General features: G+C 55.0%; 2 protein-coding genes across 2 annotated transcripts in view, besides 10 other annotated features; both read left to right on the top strand.

Moving 5' to 3' along the window:
* Positions 1-11,195, top strand: part of EFNA4-EFNA3 (EFNA4-EFNA3 readthrough) — a 23,799-nt gene extending 12,604 nt beyond the window's left edge. The window contains exons 2-5 of the mRNA NM_001407761.1: positions 8,748-9,061; positions 9,534-9,599; positions 9,785-9,862; positions 10,070-11,195. Of these exons, the coding sequence (NP_001394690.1) occupies positions 8,748-9,061; positions 9,534-9,599; positions 9,785-9,862; positions 10,070-10,200 (589 nt within the window). The 3' untranslated portion in view covers positions 10,201-11,195. The remainder of the gene's footprint in view (positions 1-8,747; positions 9,062-9,533; positions 9,600-9,784; positions 9,863-10,069) is intronic.
* Positions 2,413-2,572: a silencer, noted in NCBI's record as "silent region_1387". NCBI's record gives its function as "represses an Ori minimal core promoter by ATAC-STARR-seq in GM12878 lymphoblastoid cells {active_cell/tissue: GM12878}" and the evidence as "EXISTENCE:reporter gene assay evidence [ECO:0000049][PMID:35858748]".
* On the top strand, positions 2,494-11,195 carry EFNA3 (ephrin A3). The gene is made up of 5 exons (NM_004952.5): positions 2,494-2,726; positions 8,748-9,061; positions 9,534-9,599; positions 9,785-9,862; positions 10,070-11,195. Exons 1-5 carry the CDS (start codon positions 2,599-2,601, stop codon positions 10,198-10,200), a joined length of 717 nt encoding a protein of 238 aa, NP_004943.1. The 5' UTR covers positions 2,494-2,598; the 3' UTR covers positions 10,201-11,195.
* Positions 2,603-2,752: a silencer, noted in NCBI's record as "silent region_1388". NCBI's record gives its function as "represses an Ori minimal core promoter by ATAC-STARR-seq in GM12878 lymphoblastoid cells {active_cell/tissue: GM12878}" and the evidence as "EXISTENCE:reporter gene assay evidence [ECO:0000049][PMID:35858748]".
* Positions 4,629-4,698: a silencer, noted in NCBI's record as "silent region_1389". NCBI's record gives its function as "represses an Ori minimal core promoter by ATAC-STARR-seq in GM12878 lymphoblastoid cells {active_cell/tissue: GM12878}" and the evidence as "EXISTENCE:reporter gene assay evidence [ECO:0000049][PMID:35858748]".
* Positions 5,617-5,696: an enhancer, noted in NCBI's record as "active region_1804". NCBI's record gives its function as "activates an Ori minimal core promoter by ATAC-STARR-seq in GM12878 lymphoblastoid cells {active_cell/tissue: GM12878}" and the evidence as "EXISTENCE:reporter gene assay evidence [ECO:0000049][PMID:35858748]".
* Positions 7,968-8,267: an enhancer, noted in NCBI's record as "active region_1805". NCBI's record gives its function as "activates an Ori minimal core promoter by ATAC-STARR-seq in GM12878 lymphoblastoid cells {active_cell/tissue: GM12878}" and the evidence as "EXISTENCE:reporter gene assay evidence [ECO:0000049][PMID:35858748]".
* Positions 8,768-8,867: a silencer, noted in NCBI's record as "silent region_1390". NCBI's record gives its function as "represses an Ori minimal core promoter by ATAC-STARR-seq in GM12878 lymphoblastoid cells {active_cell/tissue: GM12878}" and the evidence as "EXISTENCE:reporter gene assay evidence [ECO:0000049][PMID:35858748]".
* Positions 9,068-9,267: a silencer, noted in NCBI's record as "silent region_1391". NCBI's record gives its function as "represses an Ori minimal core promoter by ATAC-STARR-seq in GM12878 lymphoblastoid cells {active_cell/tissue: GM12878}" and the evidence as "EXISTENCE:reporter gene assay evidence [ECO:0000049][PMID:35858748]".
* Positions 9,465-9,633: a silencer, noted in NCBI's record as "fragment chr1:155058284-155058452 (GRCh37/hg19 assembly coordinates)". NCBI's record gives its function as "represses an EF-1alpha promoter that drives an FKBP-Casp9 reporter gene in an ReSE screen in K562 erythroleukemia cells {active_cell/tissue: K562}" and the evidence as "EXISTENCE:reporter gene assay evidence [ECO:0000049][PMID:32094911]".
* Positions 9,618-9,667: a silencer, noted in NCBI's record as "silent region_1392". NCBI's record gives its function as "represses an Ori minimal core promoter by ATAC-STARR-seq in GM12878 lymphoblastoid cells {active_cell/tissue: GM12878}" and the evidence as "EXISTENCE:reporter gene assay evidence [ECO:0000049][PMID:35858748]".
* Positions 17,175-17,789: an enhancer, noted in NCBI's record as "H3K27ac-H3K4me1 hESC enhancer chr1:155065994-155066608 (GRCh37/hg19 assembly coordinates)". NCBI's record gives its function as "activates a minimal SCP1, AML or CMV promoter by ChIP-STARR-seq in primed H9 embryonic stem cells {active_cell/tissue: H9 hESC(primed)}" and the evidence as "EXISTENCE:reporter gene assay evidence [ECO:0000049][PMID:30033119]".

Here is a 23,609-nt window from a genome sequence, read left to right on the forward strand (position 1 = left end):
ACGTCTAGACCCCATCAATAAGGCCTGGGTCCTTCCATGACTCACATGCCACAGAGAGAAGCCCAGGCCTTTAGATTAGGCCCTGGGCATGTGGACAGTGGCTCAGATCTTATACACAGGGACTCAGTCCCTAGAGAAGCCCAGACCTTATGAATAGAGGCCTATAGACAGACATAGGCATTATAGCTAGAAGCACATATCCTGTAGACAGAATTGCCATATATGGTCATATAGTTTGTGCATGGCACAAAGGAGCCACCCAAGGGGAAGGGGACATCGGCCCAAGCTCCCTCACTAAGACAGGGAGCCACTAGAGCCACCTCTCACTGAAGGAGGCAGCACCTTTGTTTTTGCACAAAGGCACCACTTGCCAAGAGATGCACCCTAGGGACTGAGCCTGCAAAGAAGGGTCCTTTTTCTAATTCACACAAAGGCCCAAATCAGCTAGCAGCCCTATGGATAGAGGCCCAGGTAGACAAAGCACTAGATCCCACGGACACAGGCCTAGCTAGGCCCTATAAAGAGTATCTCAACTTCAAAACCAGAGGCTTCGACTCCATAGAGAGAGCTGCTTAAATCCTGTAGAGAGGGCTCCGGATTCTAAGAGAAGGGCTCAGTTATTATTGGAGGGTGGGTGTGGGGGTGCCAGATTCTAAAGAGTACCCAGGCCCTATAGAAAAAGGCCCAAATTCTTAAGCAGAACCTAGATTCGATAAACAGGGATATATCTTTTCTAAAATGGAATTTAAAGTCCTAGACCAAACCAGCAAGTTCCTGTTCACTATCAATATGAGCAGCGTCTCTGCCAACTGTGGGCCCCTACAGAGAGAAGCTGCCCTTGTGGAGCAGGGAATATGATTTGAGTGGAGGGGGCTGGGATTTGTGGCACCTGGAGTAAGCAGGTTAGCATCATTTGGGTGAAACAAATCTCTCTGGGGATGAGGAGCCTGCAGGGAGGGAGAGCTGTTTGCAGAGTCCCCCACTCCCATCCCAAGGGGCCTAATTTATTTGCTGGCTCCTGAGAAGGAAGAAGAGATCTCCTGGGGTGGAGAGGAGCCCAGAGAAAACAGAGACTACTCTCACCTGGCAGCAGTCAGACACTGAACCTATTCTGGATAGCACCGCCCCTGCCCCCAGCCTAGCACCTGAGGCTGACTTGTGGTCAAGACTCTGTCCTGCCACAGATAAGCAGATAGGGAGGTGCCTGCATGTTCCCTCTCCTGAAGGATAGAAGCAAAGTAGCAGCATGCCTGTCTCCCTGGACACAGGTGGTTGGCTTGCGTTCTGAGAACCCAGTCAGGCCTGGTTCCGCCTGGTCTGGGCCTCTCCAAAAGAGAAGAGATAAGGGACAGATAGCCCTAGGTCTGGTTTCTGAACCCTTTTCCTGAACTTCTACTTCCTAGAAAGAGAGAAGAGGAGAGCAAGGAACTGTGTGTGTCAGGATGCATGTGGGTTTGTGTGTGTGTTGTGTGTGGATGGATATAGGTGTGTGCTTGGGTGTCTCTGTGCCTGATCTCTAGCAGTCTGATAGTACCCTTTCCTATGTGTGTCTGGAAGGTGTACCTGTGTGTCCATATGTCTGTGTCAGGCACCTGTGTCTCTATGTTCTCTGCCTTTGGGTGACTGTGCCTTTTTTCCTGAATGTGTGTGTGTGATGTGTGTGCTTGGGTGTCACTGTGAGGACAATGACTGTGGTGAGAGCTGGAACACAAGGTGCTCTGCCCTCTGACTCAGGATCAGCGTCTCTGAGAGTAGGAGTGAGAATCCCTGGGGACAACCCTGGCTGCCCCGGGAGGGGCCCTGCCTAAGTGCCAGTGAGGAATCCTTTGTAGGTGTCCAGGGAACCCTGCTTTGCCCCAGCTGACTCTCTCCTTGACCCCCTCCTGCGCCTTGGGTTCTGGACCACTGAAGACTCTTACAGCTCCCAGTATTGACATTCTCAGGGGCTGAGCTCTTTTACTCTGCCTCCAAGATAAACAAGCCTCATGCTCAGCTGGGGGCTTCAGGTCACCAGCTGTCAAAGCCTTGGTGCCAGCTGAGGACTTCTCCACCACCCTTCTGTGCCCACCTGAGTCCTCATGCACACGGGAAAAGGGGGCATGGACGCAGCAGAGGGCCACAGTTTTCAGAAGGGAAGGGGTCCAGCCCTACTTACTAAGAGGTCCTGGATCCCCAACTTCTTCTCAAGTCTTCTCCTTCCCCTCATTCCCAGAGATGATTGGGCTTCCCTGAGATCGAGATCCTTATCTTGGGTTCCCAAATCCTTCTGGGAAATTCAGCCTGGGGAGCAAAAGACCCAGGACCAGTTGTAGCAAACTGAACTCAAGAAGGAGAGACGAGGCACGCGCTGGTCTTTCCCGAGGGGGCAGTACGGTCCCCACCTCCCACGCGTCGCGCGCTCCCGACCGGAGCGGGACGGGGCCTGTCGGGGGCGCGCCAGGGGCGGGGCTTCGGGGGCGCGCCCAGGAGGGCGGAGGGAAGGGCTGGGGGCGTGGCCTAAGGCTGGGGGCCGACGGCGGCGGCAGCAGGGAGCTGGGAAGCGGAGAAGCCGGGAGCGCGGGGCTCAGTCGGGGGGCGGCGGCGGCGGCGGCTCCGGGGATGGCGGCGGCTCCGCTGCTGCTGCTGCTGCTGCTCGTGCCCGTGCCGCTGCTGCCGCTGCTGGCCCAAGGGCCCGGAGGGGCGCTGGGAAACCGGCATGCGGTGTACTGGAACAGCTCCAACCAGCAGTGAGTCGGGGACCCTGGGAGTCCGCGCGTCCCGTCTCAGTGAGAGGGGGAGCCGGTGGGCCCGAGAAGTCCTGGGGGATCCCGGGGTGGGAGTCCTGGGAGACCAGAGCTGGGGGCTGGGAGGGGACGGAGAGGGGGACGCACTCTGTGGGCGTCTAGGAAACTCGGGGGTGTCTGAAGAGGCTGTTGGGCTATAGTAAGGAGCGCTCGGGCCGTGTGGAGGAGGCTGCTGGAGGGGCCCCCCACCCCATCTTGGCTTCTCTCCGCACCCGCCGCTGGAATAGCATGCCCCTGTCCCATAGTCCCACCAGTTGGGCTGGGGTTTGGGGGTAGCGCTGTGCTGGGGATAGGCCGCTGCATTTTGGGGCCCAGGGATGACCTGTTTTTGGCCATGAGGGCTTCCAGGGGTTCTGTCTAGGACTCCTGCTTTTAAAAGTGGGGTCCAGAGCTGAGGCAGGGAGTCCGACCGAGCACCTCCCTAGAAGGAAGGCGAATGGGTTGTCTTGGTTGTGTGGATAAGCCCGGCTAGGGTGAGCTAGGGCTGGGTCGCTGAGTTGGGGGGCCCTGGGAATGCTGCTTGGTTAGGATGGGAACGTGGGGTACCGGCGAGACGGAAGGCGGCAGAGAGATGTCGGTGTGTCACACACGCACACACACGCCCGGGCTGGGGACGGCGAATGGCTCCAAGTGTGAGCGGGCGTGCGCGGCTGTCAGTGTGCGTGTGTGTCTGAGTGTGTGATTTGTGTGTCTGCGTCGGCGATCGTCTGGGGGTGGGAGCGGGCTGCGGGTCGGGGAAGGGGCTGCGGTCGCTGTCCGCGCGGCCAGCTGCGTCTGGGCTGGGGTGGCTGTTGGCGCCGCCGCGGTCTGGGCGGGTGTCAGGGCGGCCGTGTGGTTTCCCGGGGTGTGTGGCGCGGTGGCCGGGTGCTGGCTGCGGGGCCGGGTCCTCATTCTGCTCAGTCCTTGCTGCCCTTGTCTTCTCCTCCCCGCCAAGCCGCCGTGTGTATCTCCCTGGCCACATCAGTGTGTGTCTGTGTGTTAGTAGGGGGAGATCCCTGGGGACGCGGGGGTCACTGTCACACCTGCCCGGGCGGTGGCGGCAGCACTGCCTCTGGCTGCCCACCCCAGGGACCGACCGACCAGGGAGCAAATGGCCAGACCCCAGGGGAGGGGACCGGGAGGGCCGGGCGGCCGCGACCCCCAACCTCTCGGAGGAGGGGCTGCCGCTCGCCGCTCCGCTCTTTGTTGTTTGGGGCTCCGCGCCTCCCCCTCTCTCCCTCCTCGCGCCCGGAGTGTCAGACTGGGGGTGGGGATGAGCCAACGACGCCCCCCTCTCGCTTCCCATGGAAACCTCGGGGGTGGGGACGTGGCCCCTCCCCCCCGGAGCGGGACTCCAAGAACTCCGGGGGGCGCTGGGGGCTGACTTTCCAGCTCTATCTAGCTCAGCCCCCTCCCCCAGACTCACACGTCCGCCCCCCACCCCGCTAGAGTCTGGCGGGGAACGGAGAGCTCGCAGGTGAGGGGCCCCGGGTTCCCCGCCACCCTTGGAGCACCTCAGCGTTCTTAGGGGAAGCCAGAGCCGGGGAGGATGCGGGAATAGGTTTGGTGGGGGGAGGTGTTGATCAGGTTCCCCTCCCCCGCATACACCTGGGCGCAGGTGAAAGCTCAGGGAGCGGGTGGGGGAGCCCGGGTTCCGGGAGCCTCCTTTCTGTCCTCTCTACTCCGTGCGGGCCTGGGCCGGCAGAGGTAGGAGGGGGCGCACACCGGGCCAGGAGGCTGCCGCCGCCCCCGCCTCGCTTCCCGGGCCTTTGTTGCCGCTGCGCCCGGGCTCCCCGGCTCCCTCACTGCGGCAGCCGCGGCCCCATAAATCGTGAGAGCGACGTGCTCCGGAGCCGAGAATGGAGAGGGCCGGGGAGCTGGGGGCGGGGCCGACCGAGCCACAGGCTCCCGCGCCCCCTCCCCCTAGTCACGTGAGCTGGGCTCCTGGCTCCCACCTCCCGTCACGTGCGGAGGGTCTCTGCCCCTTGGGGTCACGTGGGGAGGGTCTTGCGACCCCGCCTCCTGGGGGGGTCACGTGCGTCGGCCTCCTTTGACAGACCTGGGGACTGTGCCTTGCACACCGGCCGCGACCTAGCCCTCTGCCCCCCACTCAGTACTTCCATTTAGTCCCGTGGAACAGGAGAGACCTGTTCCCAATCTGGCCCAGAAACTAGGGATGGGGGGACTGTATTGGAGCGATGCATTAGAGTATGAGGTCGAGGAGTCCCCTAAGCCGGGAATCGAACTTGGTGAGGGGGGTTGGGACGGCCGATGGCCAAATATATGCCCCCTGGCCTGTGTTTCATTTCTTTGCAGAACTGAGCAAGGATGTTGGTATTTGCTCCGTTCTCAAGGAGCTTCGGGAACATCTTTCTATATAGCTGTCTCTCGACCTATCTCTGAAATGCTTCTGTTGCTGATCTCTCTTTCATTCATGCATTCATTCAACAAATATTTATTGAGGCTCTACTACGTCCCTGATGGTCTTTCTCTGTGTTTTCTCCCAGTCTCTGAGTCTCAGCCTTGCACCCTTCCCTGTCCCTGCTTCTCTCCTTTGCGTCTCTGTCTCCGTCTCCGCCGTCTGTGGGCCTCTCTGGCCTGCCTGTCTCTCCTGTTCTCCAAGACTCTCGGTTCTCGTTCTCTTCCCTGCCTCTCTCGGTTTCTGCGTCTCTCTCGCACTGTGTCTCCCTTCCTTTCCCCTTTCAGTGAATCCGGCCTCTGCCACCCTCCCCTTGTCGGTGTGTGTCTCCCCCTCACTCCGTCTCTGTGTCTCGCTTTCGGCAGGTCTCTCGCTCCTCTCCGCCGCTGCAGATCAATAAACCTTCGCCGCCGCCGCCGCCGCTGTCGCAGGGAGGAGGGGCGGAGGTGTCGGGCGCGCTGATTCTCCCCCACCCGACGCGGCCCAGGGAAGCCTTGCGCCCAGACCTGGGCTGTCCAGACTGGGACGGGCGGGGCGCCGAGGCCCAGGGCGCCTGAGGGGCGCAGAGGTGTCAGCGTGCAACCGCCGCCCCCCAGCGTTCCCGCCACCACCGCCACCACCCTCAAAGCCCGGGCGCGCGGACCCCACGCCGCGCACACGTGGTCCGGCCTCGCCTGCTGGAGCGGGCGGCGCGCAGCCTCGGGGGCGCGCGCTAGAGGGAAGAGGAACCCGGGTCTACATTCGTCCTCCACCCCTGTAACTCTGCAGCCCGGCGTCTAAGACCGGGGCTGGGGGTGGAGGATGGCGAGGATTTGACAAGTTCAGGGCCCCCTGGGATCCTTTCCCTACTCCCTGGTCTTGTTGGACACCCTGTTTACCTGCCCTAATTGCCCCGGGCTGGGGGAGAAGTTTGCTCCTTCCCCGCTCCGCCCGCCTGCCCCCTCCGCGGACACTCCGGGTTAAGTGGAGCCAGGCGCGGGCCGGCAGGGCACTGAAAGCGAGAGAGAGGTGTCGGGATGCGCCTCAGAGGCTGTGAGAGCCAGGAGAGACCGAAATAACGGGGTGAGGGGACACCCCCTCCAAATGGGGTGTGTCGGCATTCGCCTTTCTGCAAGAGAGGCGAGAGGCTATAGGGGATGAAGTGGAGCAAGAAGAGAGAACAGTACGAAGGGGCAGGGCACAACCCGGTCCCCAGGTCCCAGCCCACCCCCACCCTTCCGCAGGAGGCGCGGCCCTAGAGGCGGGGTTAGCTGCGGAGCTTCGCGTGGGCCCAGCGGCACCTCTCTCTCCGCACTGCTAGGGAGAAGGAGGGAGGATGACAGATTCAATTAAAGTGCCCAAGCCAAGCAGACACGTTGGGTCTCCAAAGAGTTGTGGCTGGGAATTCCTGGCTCTCACCCCGTTTGTCCCCGTGCCCTCTGTGTACCAACTGGGCCCAGCCACCCCACCGGCAGGTCTTTCTCTCACATGCCCAGCCTTGGGGGGGCATTTCAGGAGCTGTTCCTGCCACCCAGCGCAGGAGTACATAACAGATGGCTTCCCTTCACCTGTGGTCGCCCTGCAACCTTTTTTATAAGGCTAGTCCTGCCCTGTTGAGGAAATGGAATTACCTGTAGGAATACCTTGGGTGTTGGCTTCCTCCCTGCTGGAATGGGGTGTGTTGTAGGGGGAACTGGGCGGTACAGCAGGGAGGGGCTGCTTCAGAGTGGGACTGGAAACATGGGTGAGGCTCAAAGACAGAGATCCCAGTGTGGCTGTGCAGCTGCTCCAGACCTGGCACCCTCACCACTGGAGGCCCCCTCCCCAAGGCCTGAGGGGAGGAACAGACTGTGGGTTGGTGACGGACAGGCAAGCCTAGGATGGCAGTTTGGAGCCAGGCCTGGTCTAACCCGTTTTCCTGCTCCCAGTGCCGCAGGCCGAGGCTCCTGCCCACCTGAGTGCCAGGGCAAGGGAGGGGCCTGAGTGACCCATTAATCCCATGGGAACAGAGTGGGGCTGGTGGCATTCCTGATGACCAAAGGAGGCTGTGCCAATTCTTACTGGGGTACCCAAACATCAGCTCTCTGCCTGCCTCACTGTCAGGCTTGGAATGGGTTGCTGGTGGAGGGGACAGCACAAGCAAAGCCAAGGAAGTGGGGTCAGGGGGGAGGGACCCCCAAGGCCCCACCGTGTGCAGAAGCCTCCACGCTCATTTCTTTAATGGATCTAATTACTGTTTGGGGAACTGGGTGGTGCCTGGTGACATAGGGAGCCAGTCTCTCCCCCCAGGGAGCTCCCAGGGACTAGGGACCCCGTGGTATGACATTTTGCCAAGGACCCCATGCCTTTCTGTGTCCACCACTCTCCTTGCACTGCCAAGATATGTGCATTCTTACGCTAAAGAAATTAGGGAAAACTCCTGCCCCCTCTCCGAGTTTCTTTCTCCATTCAGAGGTTTCTCCATCCCCACACCGCTCACTACTGCCATCGAGGGTGTTAAGACCAACACTTTGATGGTGACTAGCAAGGCAGGTGGGGATTACAAGGGACCCAGCATCTGCTTCTCTGTCCCAAAGAGGGATCAGGGAAATAAGAGGCGCAGCCATCTTGTCTAGGCCCTGTGCCCACTGCTCTGCCCAGCATCATTAAGGGGGGCCGTTGTGCCAGGTTGAGGAAGGAGGTGCACAATGAGACAGAAGTTTGGGCTGGTTGGCATGATGCCATGTGGAGTCTTGGTACTGAGTCCCTTAGCGCCCTCATGTGTTTAAAGTTCCTGGGAGCCTAACTGTCCTTGGCCTCAGGGTGGGGTCTCTGTCACGGGACTCAAGGTACAGAAGCCAGTGATACTGTAGTATGGGGAGGGCAGGGGGAGACCCCCAGATTGGTGGGGTCAACCAATACTGGCATGCGGGCCAGCACACATACAGCCCAGCTTTTCTGTGTGTCTGCTGCCTATGAGTGGGCGGTGGACATATTTGTGCGTGTGCCATAGAACTTATGCATGTATATGCATGAAGCCGCCATACATGCGTCTGTAAGGGCAGGTCCTGTTGGACTGGCCTCCGGGGTGGACTGGCAGCCGCAGGGAAGCATGGTGGGAGAAGCGATGGAGGGTGTGTGCGTCCCTCGGAGGGGATCCCTCCCACGTTCACCCTTGGCTTCCATCCCTCCCATCCCTCCTCCCGGCTGCTGAATTATGGGGGATGGACGGAGGAAATCCGGGCCTGGGTCTGAGAGTCGCTGGGGCCTGCGCCGTTTCTGTGGCAACCAAAGCGTACGTTCCCTTCTTCCCTCCGCCCCTCTCCCTCGCCTCCTTTTCTTTGGAGGCAGGCCGGGCTTCCCTGCGCCTTTGCTACCCTCTGGTGGCCAACAGGAGAAGGACAGACCAAGAAGGAGGGCACGGAAGGAGACTTAGGGGAGCGGCGGCACTAGGGCCCCGGGGGCAGAGACAGGGCTGAGCCGCGAGGAAGCTCGGAGGAAAAGTCGGAAGGCTACGCGGACCCTGGGGAGGGGCTGCGGAGCGGTCAGATGGAAAGCGGCTTTGCTCTGGGGTTTCTTCTCTCTGAGCCGCTTCCTCTTCCCCACAGCCTGCGGCGAGAGGGCTACACCGTGCAGGTGAACGTGAACGACTATCTGGATATTTACTGCCCGCACTACAACAGCTCGGGGGTGGGCCCCGGGGCGGGACCGGGGCCCGGAGGCGGGGCAGAGCAGTACGTGCTGTACATGGTGAGCCGCAACGGCTACCGCACCTGCAACGCCAGCCAGGGCTTCAAGCGCTGGGAGTGCAACCGGCCGCACGCCCCGCACAGCCCCATCAAGTTCTCGGAGAAGTTCCAGCGCTACAGCGCCTTCTCTCTGGGCTACGAGTTCCACGCCGGCCACGAGTACTACTACATCTGTGAGTGACGGCGGCCGGGCGGGCGGGTCTGAACGCGAGAGTCTGAGTGACAGCCGGGGGGTGGAGCCCCTAGGCTCCGGGGCGGGGCCGGCGCGGCGGGCGCCAGGTCTCGCGGCTGAGACCAGGGAGGAGGCGTGGGCACGGGACGCCTGAGGGGTTCAGCTCAGACGAGGTCGTGGGGCCAAGAGAGGAGTTTGGTGACAGTCCCAAGTTTGGGCTGCGGAGAATCGCTGTTTCTGTGAGGGACATTCCGGGGTTGGAACATCAGGGATCCCAGTTTCTTGAGGGGTGGGACCAAAGGGGCGTCTAGGGCCGACGGCAGAGCTAAAGTGACCCGTGTCCAAAGGGTAGGGGAGCTCCTGAAGGAGACCGCCCGACGGGGACAGTTTGGAGGGGGTGAGAAATAGAGCCGTCGAGGGAGGGCACAGGCACACATTGGGCGAAAGTGACTCAGGCCCGGTCTCCTCCCCAGCCACGCCCACTCACAACCTGCACTGGAAGTGTCTGAGGATGAAGGTGTTCGTCTGCTGCGCCTCCAGTGAGTAGAATAGGCTCCGAGCCGCGCCCCCATCCTCAGCTCCCTGCTTTGGGGCTCCCCTGGCTTCCTGGGGGTGGGGGCGGAGGGCACAGGTGAGGGGGGCTTGCTCCCCAGCCGTAGCAAGGGGAGGGAATCCTGGCCCTGACTCTCCCCTCCTCTCTCCCCACCCGCACCCCACCCCGCAGCATCGCACTCCGGGGAGAAGCCGGTCCCCACTCTCCCCCAGTTCACCATGGGCCCCAATGTGAAGATCAACGTGCTGGGTGAGTCTGCGCAGCGCCCTCTGGTGGCCACTGCTGGAACCGCAGCCCCCCGCCCCGGTGCCTGCTCACCTCGCATGCCTTCCCTGGGGGCACTGATACTTCCTACCCTGTGGGTGGTCACGTCCCTGGCTCCATTGCTGCTGCCGCGTGCCCCTGCCCTGGCGCGCAACCCAGCCCTCACCAGTCTGTCTGTTCCTCTGTCCACAGAAGACTTTGAGGGAGAGAACCCTCAGGTGCCCAAGCTTGAGAAGAGCATCAGCGGGACCAGCCCCAAACGGGAACACCTGCCCCTGGCCGTGGGCATCGCCTTCTTCCTCATGACGTTCTTGGCCTCCTAGCTCTGCCCCCTCCCCTGGGGGGGGAGAGATGGGGCGGGGCTTGGAAGGAGCAGGGAGCCTTTGGCCTCTCCAAGGGAAGCCTAGTGGGCCTAGACCCCTCCTCCCATGGCTAGAAGTGGGGCCTGCACCATACATCTGTGTCCGCCCCCTCTACCCCTTCCCCCCACGTAGGGCACTGTAGTGGACCAAGCACGGGGACAGCCATGGGTCCCGGGCGGCCTTGTGGCTCTGGTAATGTTTGGTACCAAACTTGGGGGCCAAAAAGGGCAGTGCTCAGGACTCCCTGGCCCCTGGTACCTTTCCCTGACTCCTGGTGCCCTCTCCCTTTGTCCCCCCAGAGAGACATATGCCCCCAGAGAGAGCAAATCGAAGCGTGGGAGGCACCCCCATTGCTCTCCTCCAGGGGCAGAACATGGGGAGGGGACTAGATGGGCAAGGGGCAGCACTGCCTGCTGCTTCCTTCCCCTGTTTACAGCAATAAGCACGTCCTCCTCCCCCACTCCCACTTCCAGGATTGTGGTTTGGATTGAAACCAAGTTTACAAGTAGACACCCCTGGGGGGGCGGGCAGTGGACAAGGATGGCAAGGGGTGGGCATTGGGGTGCCAGGCAGGCATGTACAGACTCTATATCTCTATATATAATGTACAGACAGACAGAGTCCCTTCCCTCTTTAACCCCCTGACCTTTCTTGACTTCCCCTTCAGCTTCAGACCCCTTCCCCACCAGGCTAGGCCCCCCACACCTGGGGGACCCCCTGGCCCCTCTTTTGTCTTCTGTGAAGACAGGACCTATGCAACGCACAGACACTTTTGGAGACCGTAAAACAACAACGCCCCCTCCCTTCCAGCCCTGAGCCGGGAACCATCTCCCAGGACCTTGCCCTGCTCACCCTATGTGGTCCCACCTATCCTCCTGGGCCTTTTTCAAGTGCTTTGGCTGTGACTTTCATACTCTGCTCTTAGTCTAAAAAAAATAAACTGGAGATAAAAATAACTGAGTGTGTGTGATTTCAAGGGGCCATCACCCTTCTGTTACACTGGTTAAACCTCACAGGGCACAGGGCCTGAGTAGGAGAGGGAATTCTGGGGCCAAAGAGTCACAACGAGGTGTTCAAATCTTGTTCTGGGGCTCATCTTCATTACAAAGGCAGCGCTGCTTGGAAAGAGCAAGAGGGGCCTCCAGGCAGGGCCTGGTTGACTTTGGGCAAATCACTCAACCTCTCTGATTCTCAGGTATCCCACCAGAAAAACTGGTTGTGGTATCTCTCTCTTAGGGTTGGTGTAGGGATTAAATGACGCAGGGAGTTAAAGGCTCCATCAATTATGGTTTCCACCTTTTCTTCCCCTTCCATGCTGTAATTGAGGTTCTTGACTGGAGTCTATGGATTTCAGGGGATTTGAGAACCTAGACAGAAAAAAAACTATCTTTATTTTCACTTGCCTATAACTAAAATTTAACATTCTCTTGTGTGCTTGGGCAGCAAGCCATAATAGTATTAATAGTACCTGTGACTTTGTAACCAGAAATCACACGTTTTCAGGCTGCATTATAGTTGTTGAAGATATCTCAAAATACAATTTACACTCATCAGTACTTTGAAATGATCATAGTTGTTAGGCCTTCCTCATTTTTAATGTGTTAATAAGAAAGCATATATATTACTATATCAAGAAATGTAAATGTTTTGATAACTCTTTCAATATAATTAGCTTTCTTTATAACCCTTTGTAATTTTACTCATTTCAAACATTATGCCCAAGGTGCTGGGAGTTTGCTGGGGCTGGGGCTGCTCATAACTACACCACCCTGCATCGCTCGGGAGGGCAGAGAGGACAGAAGGGCAAAAGACAGGATAATGGCCGCTTCCCAGGGGCCCCAGAGAAGGTCAGGGTTTACAGACCAGCACAGCATAAGGGAGTGCGGATAGGGGCTGAAATGTACCTGCAACTTCACTTGCTGAGCCAAGTGCCTGGCCCAGGGAGGGGACACCTTATTGCCAAGCTGTGCACCCATGGGACTCCATCCCACCCAGGCTCTCTAATTGGCACTGTGTGAGCAGGCCAGATCCTGTGTGCCCCTGTGGCTCTTGCCGGCTGCTTTGTGAGAATGAGCCCTTGGTGGTAAGGACTGTGTTTTCTGCTCCTCTCTACCCATAAAACATGGAAAATGGAATCTGAGCTAGACTCTGCAGAGTGGGTGGGTTTCCCAATAGCGGAACAGGGAAGAGTGTGGGGTGGGAGAGCAGGTGGGGAAAGAACTGGGGGCAGCCACTAGACCAGTCTGAGACTCCCTACAGACTGATAAGACAGAAAAGGTGGGCCTATCCATCCAATCGTCCATGCATTCAATCCACATTTATCGAGCACCTGCCGAGTGCCAGGCTCTATCCTGGGTATTGGAGACACAAGATATAGTCTCTACCCCAAAATAAGCTCATACTTTAGTATGTGTTGATGTATGAGCAGAAATTGGTAACACACACATACATAACTGACAACATAACCAGCTCTTTCGTGGGTAAATGCCTGGGAGCTGTGGGAATGCCAAGAAAAAGCACACACTTGCCTAGGGACAGAGGAAAGAGGCTTCAGACAGGAGGAGATACACAGAGCGGGGTCGGGTACTGTTGGGGAGAATCTCGAGGACCCATAGTAGTGGGCCTGGGCTGCAGGCTTGCTTCAATTCCCCGGGCCAGGCAGGATAGGGGCTGGCCAGATGGGATGGGGGAGGGCCTTGCAGATTCAAAAATTCTGGAATAGTAAGACTGAAAGGGCCAAGCACTTTGGGCAGTAACTAGAATAAGCCAGCTTCCATTCACTGAGCACCTCCTATGTGCCGAGTGCTGCGCCTTTGTAAGCCTCACTATTCCAATAACACAGATGAGGATCTAAGACTTAGGGCCACACAGCCTGGCTAATGATAGGGCTGGCATTCAAAGTGGGTCTAACAGGAGGCTGAGGTGGGAGGACCGCTTGACCTCTGGAGTTTAATGCCAGCCCAGGTAATATAGCAAGACCCCATCTTTTATTTTTATTTTTATTTTTTTTGAGACAGAATCTCACTCAGTCGCCCAGGCTGGGGTGCAGTGGCACCATCTCAGCTCACTGCAACCCCCGCCTCCTGGGTTCAAGTGATTCTCCTGCCTCAGCCTCCTGAGTAGCTGGGATTACAGGTGCATGCCACCACGCCTGTCTAATTTTTGTATTTTCAGTAGAGATGGGGTTTTGCCATGTTGGCCAGGCTGTTCTTGAACTCCCGACCTCAGGTGATCTGCCCGCCTCAGCCTCCCAAAGTGCTGGGATTACAGGCGTGAGCCAGTGTGCCCAGCCGACCCCATCTTTAAAAAAACAAAAACAAAAACAAAACAAATGGCCAGGCACAGTAGCTCAGGCCTCTAATCCCAGCATTTTGGGAGGCTGAGGTAGGAGGATCACTTGAGCCCAGGAGTTTGAGACCGGCCTGGGCAACATAGGAAGACTCCATCTCTACAAAAAATAAAAAAAATATCCAGGTGTGGTGACAAACCTTTAGTCCCAGCTACTGGGAAGACTGAGGTGAGAGGATCGCTTGAGCCCAGGAGTTCAAGACCAGCCAGGGCAAAATAGTGAGACCCTATTTCTACAAAAAAAAAAAAAAAAAAAAAAAGCTAGGCGTGGTGGCATGCACCTGTAGTTTTAGCTACTCAGGAGGCTGAGACGGGAGAATTGCTTGAGCCCAGGAGAGCAAGGCTGCAATGTGCTATGATCACACCACTGTACTCCAGCCTGGGCGACAGAGCAAGAGCAAGACCCTGACTCTTTTTTTTGAGGTGGAGTTTTGCTCTTGTTGCCCAGACTGGAGTGCAATGGTGTGATCTCATCTCACCGCAACCTCCACCTCCTGAGTTCAAGTGATTCTCCTGCCTCAGCCTCCCGAGTAGCTGGGATTACAGGCATGTGCCACCACACCTGGCTAATTTTGTATTTTTAGTAGAGACAGGGTTTCTCCATGTTGGTCAAGCTGGTCTCGAACTCCCAACCTCAGGTGATCCGCCCACCTCAGCCTCCCAAAGTGCTGGGATTACAGGCATGAGCCACCGCGCCCGGCTGACCCTGTCTTTAAAATAAATAAATAAGTAAATTGGCAGGCACTGTGGCTCACACTTGTAATCCCAGCACTTGAGAGGCCAAGGCAGGCAGATCATTTGAGGTCAGGAGTTTGAGACCATCCTGGACAACATGGCGAAACCCAGTATCTACTAAAAATACAAAAATTAGCCAGGCATGTGGTGCATGTCTGTAATCCCAACTACTCAGGAGGCTGAGGCAGGAGAATCGCTTGAACCTGGTAGGCGGAGGTTCCAGTGGGTCGAGATCGAGCCACTGCACTCCATCCTGGGCGACAGAACGAGACTCTGTCTCTCAAAAATAAATATCTAAATAAATAATAAATAAATGAAATCAGTTTTAAAAGCTGCGGAGCCCTGCTGAGGATTTTCCCGTCCAGCGAGGCTTTCAATCCCAGAGCATGTAAGGAAGACTGGGGAGAGAGGTCTGCACTTAGATGGCCAGACACCAATGACCCTGAGCCTGTCTGGTACAGGGCCCTACTTTGTGACACCAAGGTCTGCAGAGCCCAGGGCGTCCTGGCCAAGGCAGTGGTAAGATGTCACCAGGCACAGTGGTATGGCCTGAGGGCAGAGCAGCCTCACCCTGGGCAGGGTCTTCTTCACCCTTGTGTTGTCTCATGTTGGCCCCCTCCAGCACAGGCACAAAGAGGGCTCCCACCTGACACGCTGGCATTCCCAGAGGCTGTCACAGGTTAATGCCCCCAACACAGGTAGAGATCGCACACATCCCTCCTCTTCCCGTCCTCCCCAGGGTGAAAAACAACAGCAACATCAAACAACTGAACAGAGATTTTGGCTTGGAGAGTAAAGTTCAGAGCTGCCCCGCCCCTCCCTTCGGGGTGAGAGGTCACTCCAGCAGCGCTGTGGGTAGCAGGGAAGGAGCTATTTACAATCCCGGCTGGGGTCTAAGCCTCGCTGCCACGTGGGTTTGCCACTCGGGGCCTGCAAGTCTGCCGATATCCACCAGGTGGCGCAGCACCTGGGCTGGGACTCGCCGGAGCTGTGAGGGGAGCTTGGGATGGGTTTGCGGTCGGTGGAGCGGGTGTTGGTCCTTGAGGGGACTCAAGCAGCTGCGCCGTAGGACCCTCTGTTCTCAGGCCTGGGGCAGGGTGGGCTAAGGCCCAGCCCACTCTCCGTCCATTTCTCTTATCCCCACTCTCTTCTTTTCCTCCCCTAGTTGTAGATGCCATGGGGTTGGGAGTGGACTTGGGCTCAGTCCACAGCCGTCCAGCCCAGACCTACTCGGCACGCAAATCTCGCCATTCTCTCTCAACCTCCATGTTCCGTCCAGCTGGCAAACCAGGGATACAGACTGGGCTGGAGGTACGTGGCAGGGACAGAGGCGTGGACTGGAGGTGGTGGTGACGGGGCTGGGGGGCCATGGATTGGAATGAAGGACACAAGCTGGGACCAGGAGACAAGGACTAGGATGAGGGGGGCGGGAGGATATGGAGGGGGGGAACGAGGGGCATGAGCTGGGTTGGGGGCATGGACTGGCAAGAGGGGTCCAGGTGGGAGGTGATGGGAACACAGGCTCGGTGTCTGCAGCCTGTGGACGACAGTCTGGGGAAGTGTGACGCGGATGGGATAGCCCAGATGTGCTGGGGCCAGGTCAGCCAGAGACACACTGGGCCCAGAGCAGCAGAGCAGCTTCAGGCTGAACCTAGTGATGTGGCCTGTGATCTGACTCCAAAGAGGTCTGGCCTCCTCCAGTCTCCTCCGGTGTGGCCTGGGGGAGGGGCAGATATGACTCCTCCCCAGAGTGTTAGCACCAAACTCTTGGCCTTCGCCACAGCATCTGGCCCCAGGTAATTACAGGGGCCAAGCCTGGCTATAAAAGGATGGATGGGCCAGCCTAGGAACCTGGGAGAGCTAGGTTCAACTGACCGGAGGTCCACCAGCCTGCCTCTGAGAGGCTGGCATTGGCCAGGGGATACTAGAGTTTCACATTCAATGGCATACACTTCATATGCCATACACCAATCATATAATCTCATAACCTTGCAACCACACACAGTCAATCAAACTCGGTGCTGAGGGAGAGGGGGCTGGGGGGCAAAGCAGGGAGGAAAGCAGGGGCTTTGTTCACACCACTGAAGTGGGAGAGGCCCCCCACGGGACTGAGGGACCAGTCCAGGCACCCACAGGAGGGAACACGCACACACACTCATCCATCACTTGCACACACATCCATGTGTGCACATTCGACCCGTTTTGCGGCCGTCACACTCAAGCCATTCATGGGTATTAGGCACATACTAACGCCCCACTGTCTATAACACACTCACGCAGGCACCAGACCCCACACAGGGCAAGGGGCTCCCAGGTACCCTGAGCCGCGCTTGCATCCAGGGTCACATACGGTGACACACTTGAGGGCTGGCATTCAACAGATGATACAATTCTCTAACACGGACCCAATGACAATCCCAGCCAAGCCAACTGGGCAAACCCTAGAGTCAAGAAAATCAGAAGAGGGAGGAGGTGGGAGGGGGTAGATCAGAGCCACATTCACACCCTCTGGAAACCGATAGGTCATTTCAACAGCCACAGGAGACACAAAAACAACCTCTAGGACCCCAAGGATATACCCAGACACATACACAAACACAAGGAGAGGCAGGGGCTTCTCAATCACATCCATATGTGCACCCACAGATACGTGCCCACACCCAACATCACACGCAGTGCCCACCACATTCTTCCCAGGGACCTTGGGAACCTCCTACCCACTCCTGCCTTGTGCTGGTGAAGGAGAAGACAATGGTGGGGAGCAGAGGGGGCTGGGAAGAGTAAGAGCTAAGCTTGAGACAGGAGAAAGCCCTCTTCCCACACCACAGACATGCCTGCACACACACACACACACACACACACACACACACACACACACACACATACACAGATGCCAGACCTTGAGCCTCCAGGGAGAGCCCTGAGGAGAAATCAACAGAGGCTGTCCAACTCCACGTGGGGCCATGCCCATATCTGACCACCTGGACACCAGCACTGCCCACTCTGGGCACAGACCCCAGGCCTGGCCTCTCTGCACCATTAAGCACACTGGGCATGGAGGGTGACCCTCGCATCCCTCTGTGACCCCAGGCTTGTCACTTGGGTGCCCTTCAGGGCCTGGCAGGACCTGGTCTGACAGTGGAAAAAGCAAATATTCTCAGTGCCCTCCTAATACGGCCCCCAAAAGAGGCCTTAAGAGCCTTCCTCCCTCCTTGCAGGCTAAGCACACAGCAGGCATCATGCTAACCCCTGGGTATACAACCCCGAGTCTGGCGGCCATTTGGCTGGGCCTCTGGCCAGAGTTGTCAGGGAAGACTTTGGGAGAGATGAGAGGCTTGAGGGATGATTGGCAGTTTGCCAGCTAGGGTGTGGGTGTTGGCTGGGAGGGACTACGAGGGGAGACAGGCCAGCAGAGGGGGCAGCATGATCAAAAGGACGGAGGCTGCTGTGTTTATGTTTCACAGCATAAGCAGTCACAAAAACATTCACACTCACAACAGAGCACGCCCTTTTCACACAGGGCGCCTTTGTACACATGTGCACCCTCCTGGAGCAACACTCTGCAGTTTGTTCGCTCCAGGCTGCCCTCACACCACTCCGTGGCACCATCCCCGCAGTCTCCATGAGATGACATCCCTTAGAGATCCTCTCACACCTGCACCCTGCTGAAGGGCTGCCTGTCTGTGGGTGCCCACAGTGAGCACCCAGAGTTGAGGGAGCCTCCTCTCCTGGGACAAGTGGTTGGGAAGCCGGGGACATCTGAGCAGTCCCTGAGCCTTCTAGGGCTGGAGCGAGCAGAGAAGCCGAGGAGACTGTGGCTGCCTGAGATTCTTAGAAGCAGCAATTCTCTTTTAGCCAAAAGCACTTAAGCAGAGGCCTGAGTTAAAAATAGGCTGGATTTACTGCCAGAAGGTGGCAGGAGAGGAAGTTTCTTTCTGACGGTACTCATTCTATCCCAAACACCTACAGAGGCTCTATGGGACCCTGCTGGGCTGGGGAACTCCACCCAACTGTTCTGTGTGCCAAGGGGGTGGCCAGCACACCCCTTGTGATCTTCATTTTATCTCCTTTATTGGTTCATAATACTACACTTACATTTTTTTGTGGTTCTTTTAGGATTACACAATGCTTCTTTAACTTATAGTCTATCTCCATCAAGTAATATCACACCACTCAGCGCAAACACCTTCCTCCCATTCCCCACCTCTCCGCCTTTGTGCTATTGTCACCATGGATTTATTTCTACACATGCTATAAGCCCCACAATACATTATTAGATTTGCTCTAAACCCTCAAGTATCTTTTAAAGAGAATTTTAAAATCAGAAAAATATCTTTTCTATCTACCCACATATTTACCATTTCCAGCTCTCTTCATTCCTTTGTGTAGACGGAGATTTCCATCTGGTATCATTTTTCTTCTGCTTGAAGGACTTTTTAAAGCCGTTCTTCTAGTGCAGGTCTACTGATGATGAATTCTTTCAATTTTGGAATGTCTGAATGCATCTTTATTCCATCTTCCTATTTGAAAGATATCTCCACTGAATTCTAGGTTGACAGTTTTTATCTTTTCGTACTTTAAAGACATTACTCCACTGTCTTCAGGGTTGCATTGTTTCTGACGAGAAATCACTTCTATTTTTCCTTTTTACACAATGTGTTTTTTTCCTCTGGCAGCTCTTAAGATTTGTGTCTTTATCACTGGTGTTCAGCAGTGATTAAGGCAGATTATGATGTACCCTTGGTGTAGTTGTCTTCATATTTCTTCTGCTTAGGGTTTATTGAGCTTCTTCGACATAGGGATTTATAGTTTCCATCAAATTTGAAAATTATTGTTCCTTCAGATATTTTTTCTGTCATCTCTCCTGTGAATCTGTTAGACCCACGTTTCTGGTCTCCAAACAGGTATACAGGCTACTTGTTATTCCACAGCTCACTGATTTTCTGGATTTTGGTTTTGGAGGTTTTGTTTTTGTTTTTTGTTTTTTGTTTTTAAGTCTTTTTTTCCTCTCTGTGTTTCATCTTGGATAGTTTCTATTGCTAAGTCTTCAAAAACCTGTTTTCTACAGGGTCTAATCTGCTTTTATTTCCATCCAGTATACTTTTCATCTCAGATATTATACATTTCATCTTTAGAAGTTCAATTGAGGTCTTATTTTATATCTTCACACCTCTTTACATCGTGTTTATGTTTTTCCATATCTGTTTGAATATATGGATGGTATTTAATAATAGCTATTGGAGCTAAAGTCCTTGTCTACTAATTCTGTGACATTTCTGGGTCAGCTTTGTGTCATTATTTGCCTGTGTCTTTGCATGCCTGGTAATTATTGATTGGATGCCAGACATTGTATATTTTATGTTGTTTGGTGCTAGATTTTTTTGTATTCCTTTGAATATATTTGAGCCTCGTTCAGGGACTTAGTTAAGTTCCTTGGAAACAGATTGATCCTTTTAAGGTGTGCTTTTAGGTACCATTTGGCAAGAGGAGAATAGCCTTTGGTCTAAGGCTAATTTGCTCTCACCACTGAGGCAGTATCATCTGATGACTCTACTTGATGTCCCATGTATCAGTCAGTATCTAGTCAAGAGGCAGAAACCACACAGCAATTTGAACAGGGAAAGTTTAATGTAAAAAGAAAAAAAATTTTTTTTTGAGACAAGGTCTTGCTTTGTTACCCATGCCGGTATGCAGTGGTGCAATCATGGCTCACCATAGCTTCCACCTCCTGGGCTGAAGTGGTTCTCCAGCCTTAGCTTCCTGAGTAGCTGGGATCACAAGCGTGTGCTACCACACCTGGCTAATTTTTACATTTCTTTTGTAGAGACAGAGGGTCACCCTATGTTGCCTAGGCTGGTCTGGAACTCCTGGACTTAAGCAATCCTCCCACCTCAGCTTCCCAAAGTGCTGGAATCACAGGTGTGACCCACCACATGCAGTCTAATGTAAAAAGGTATTAACTTAACAAGGAATTGAGGTTAGAAGGGATTGGCTAGTAAGAAATAAACAGAACTCTAAATGAATACAGGAATAGGGGGCCAGATGCAGTGGCTCATGCCTGTAATCCCAGCACTTTAGGAGGCTGAGGCAGGTGGATCACCTGAGGTCAGGAGTTCAAGACCAGCCTGGGCAACATGGTGAAACCCTGTCTCTACAAAAATACAAAAATTAGCTGGGCATGATGGCGGGTGCCTGTAATCCCAGCTACTCAGGAGGCTGAGACAGGAGAATTGCTTGAACTGGGGAGGGCAGAGGTTGCATTGAGCCGAGATCCTGCCATTGCACTCCAGCCTGGGTGACAGAGCGAGACTCTGTCTCAAAAAAAAAAAAAAAAATCAGGAATAGCAGATACAAGAAGCGACTACTCTTCCTGGGTCTAAGGTGGAACACCCAAGAACAGCCCTCCCCATTCTGCCTGTTGTCCTATGTCTGGAATCACTGTTTCATATAGTCTGTCAGGTGTTTTAGTTGTTTAAAGCAGGTGGGGCCGGGTGCGGTGGCTCATGCCTGTAATCCCAGCACTTTGGGAGGCTGAGGTGGGTGGATCACTTGAGGTCAGGAGTTTGAGACCAGCCTGGCCAACATGGTGAAACCCTCTCTCTACTAAAAATACAAAAATTGGCCGGGCGCGGTGGCTCACGCCTGTAATTCCAGTGCTTTGGGAGGCCGAGGCGGGCGGATCACGAGGTCAGGAGATCGAGACCATCCTGGCTAACACAGTGAAACCCTGTCTCTATTAAAAATACAAAAAATTAGCCAGGCGCGGTGGCAGGCGCCTGTAGTCCCAGCTACTCGGGAGGCTGAGGCAGGAAAATGGCGTGAACCTGGGAGGTGGAGTTTGCAGTGAGCCAAGATCGTGCCACTGCACTCCAGCCTCGGCGATAGAGTGAGACTCCATCTCAAAAAATGAATAAATAAATAAATAAATAAAAATTTAAAAAATACAAAAATTAGCCGGGCACGGTGGCATGTGCCTGGAATCACAGCTGCCTGGGAGGAAGAGGTTGCAGTGAGCTGAGATTTTGCCACGGCACTCCAGCCTGGGCGACAGAGCAAGACTCAGTCTCAAAAAAAAAAAAGCAAGTGAGAAGATGGTCCTTGTTTCCCAGCTCCCCTCTCTGCATCTGAGAAGCTGCATGTGCTATGGACCCATGGAGCACACCAGAATCAGGAAGAAAAGCTCCTTTCTCCCACGGTGTCTCTCTAGCACTTTGCATTGACAAAGCTTAACATCATGCTGGGCTGGCAAAAGAAAAGTAATTAAAGGGCCCAGCTACATTTTCACAGAGCAGGCAATGAAAAATCAATTTAGAGCTGAGAGGCAATACATTAATAACTGGCACAAACCGATAACTATGAGGAGGTCTTTCCACTCTGGTTTGTGGGAACACAAAGTATTCCTGGCACTGTATGAGCACTTCAGATTTTTTGCTTTTTTTTTTTTTTTTTTTTGAGATGGAGTTTTGCTCTTCCTGCCCGGGCTGGAGTGCAGTGACACGATCTCCGCTCACTGCAACCTCCGCCTCCCGGGTTCAAGCAATTCTCCTGCCTCCTGAGTAGCTGGGATTACAGGCTCGCACTACCATGCCTGGCTAATTTTTATATTTTTAGTAGAGACAGGGTTTCACCATGTTGGCCAGGCTGGTCTTGAACTCCTAACCTCAGGTGATCTGCCCACCTCAGCCTCTCAAAGTGCTGGGATTACAGGCGTGAGCCACCACACCCGGCCTTCCTGCATCTTTCTTGTGGTTCTTTCCCTAATCCTGTCCTTTCCTCATATGCATATACTGCTCAGCACGCAGCTGAAGACTTGAGGGAGACCCTGCAGATCGCTGTGCAGCTCTTTCCTCTCCAGTACTCTGCCCTGTAAAATGCAGCCATCTACTCCCAGCTACTCAAGAGGCTGAGGCAGGAGAATTGCTTGAACCCGGGAGGCAGAGGATGCAGTGAACCAAGATTGTGCCACTGCACTCCAGCCTGGCGACAGAGCAACATTCCATCTCCCAAAATAAATAAATAAATAAAAAAGACCTTGTTGTGGTTGGGCACAGTGGCTCACGCCTGTAATCTCAGCATTTTGGGAGGCCAAGGCAGGTGGATCACCTGAGGCCAGGAGTTTGAGACCAGCCTGGCCAACATGGCGAAACCTGGTTTCTACTAAAAATGCAAAAACTAGCCAGGTGTGGTGGTGCATGCCTGTAATCCCAGCTACTTGGGAGGCTGAGGCAGGAGAATCACTTGAACCCAGGAGGTGGAGGTTGCAGTGAGCAGAGATCGTGCCACTGCACTCCAGACTGGATGATAGAGAAAGACTCTGTCTCAAAACGACAAAAACAAAAGCCTCAAAACTAGCATTAACACTCCTGTATATCACAGGGCAGGGGAGGGGCTTTATATTGTAATGTATACACCATCCTTTTTTTTTTTTTTTTTTTTTTTTTTTTTATGACAGGGTCTTGCTCTGTTCCCAGACTGGAGGGCCATGGCATGATCATGGCTCACTGTAGCCTCGACCTCCCAGGCTCAAGCAGTCCACCCACCTCAGCCTCCCAAGTAGCTGTGACCATAGGCATACGCCCCCATGTCCAGCTAACTCATATTTTTTATAGAGACCAGGTTTCTCCATGTTGCCAGGCTATTCTCAAACTCCTGAGCTCAAGCCATCCTCCGGCTTCAGCCTCCCAAAGTCCTGGGATTACGGGCATGAACCACCACACCCAGACTACATCATCCCTTTTAATTGCATATAATTAATTTTATTTTATCATAGTAACACATTACATCATGACGTAGTTTAAAAAGTCAAATAGGGTCAAGTGCAGTGGCTCACACCTGTAACCCCAGCACTTTGGAAGGCTGAGGCAGGAGGATTGCTTGAGGCCAAGAGTTTCAGACCAGTCTAGGCAACATAGCCAGACCCTGTCTCTACAAAAACAACTTTTTAATTAGTGGGTGTGGTGGCACACGCCTGTAGTCCCAGCTGCTCAGGAGGCTGAGTGGGAGGATTGCTCGAGCCCACGAGGTTGAGGTTGCAATGAGCTGTGATCGTGTCACTGCACTCCAGCCTGAGTGACAGAGCCCAACTCTGTCTCTAAAAAAAAAAGTCAAATGGGGCCAGGCGCAGTGGCTCACACCTGTAATCTCAGCACTTTGGGAGGCTGAGGGAGGCAGATCACCTGAGGTTGGGAGTTCAAAACCAGCCTAACCAACATGGAGAAACCCTGTCTCTACTAAAAATACGAAATTAGGCCGGGCGCGGTGGCTCACACCTCTAATCCCAGCACTTT

This window comes from Homo sapiens, chromosome 1 (genome assembly GCF_000001405.40).
Source record: "Homo sapiens chromosome 1, GRCh38.p14 Primary Assembly".
Taxonomy (NCBI): domain Eukaryota; kingdom Metazoa; phylum Chordata; class Mammalia; order Primates; family Hominidae; genus Homo; species Homo sapiens.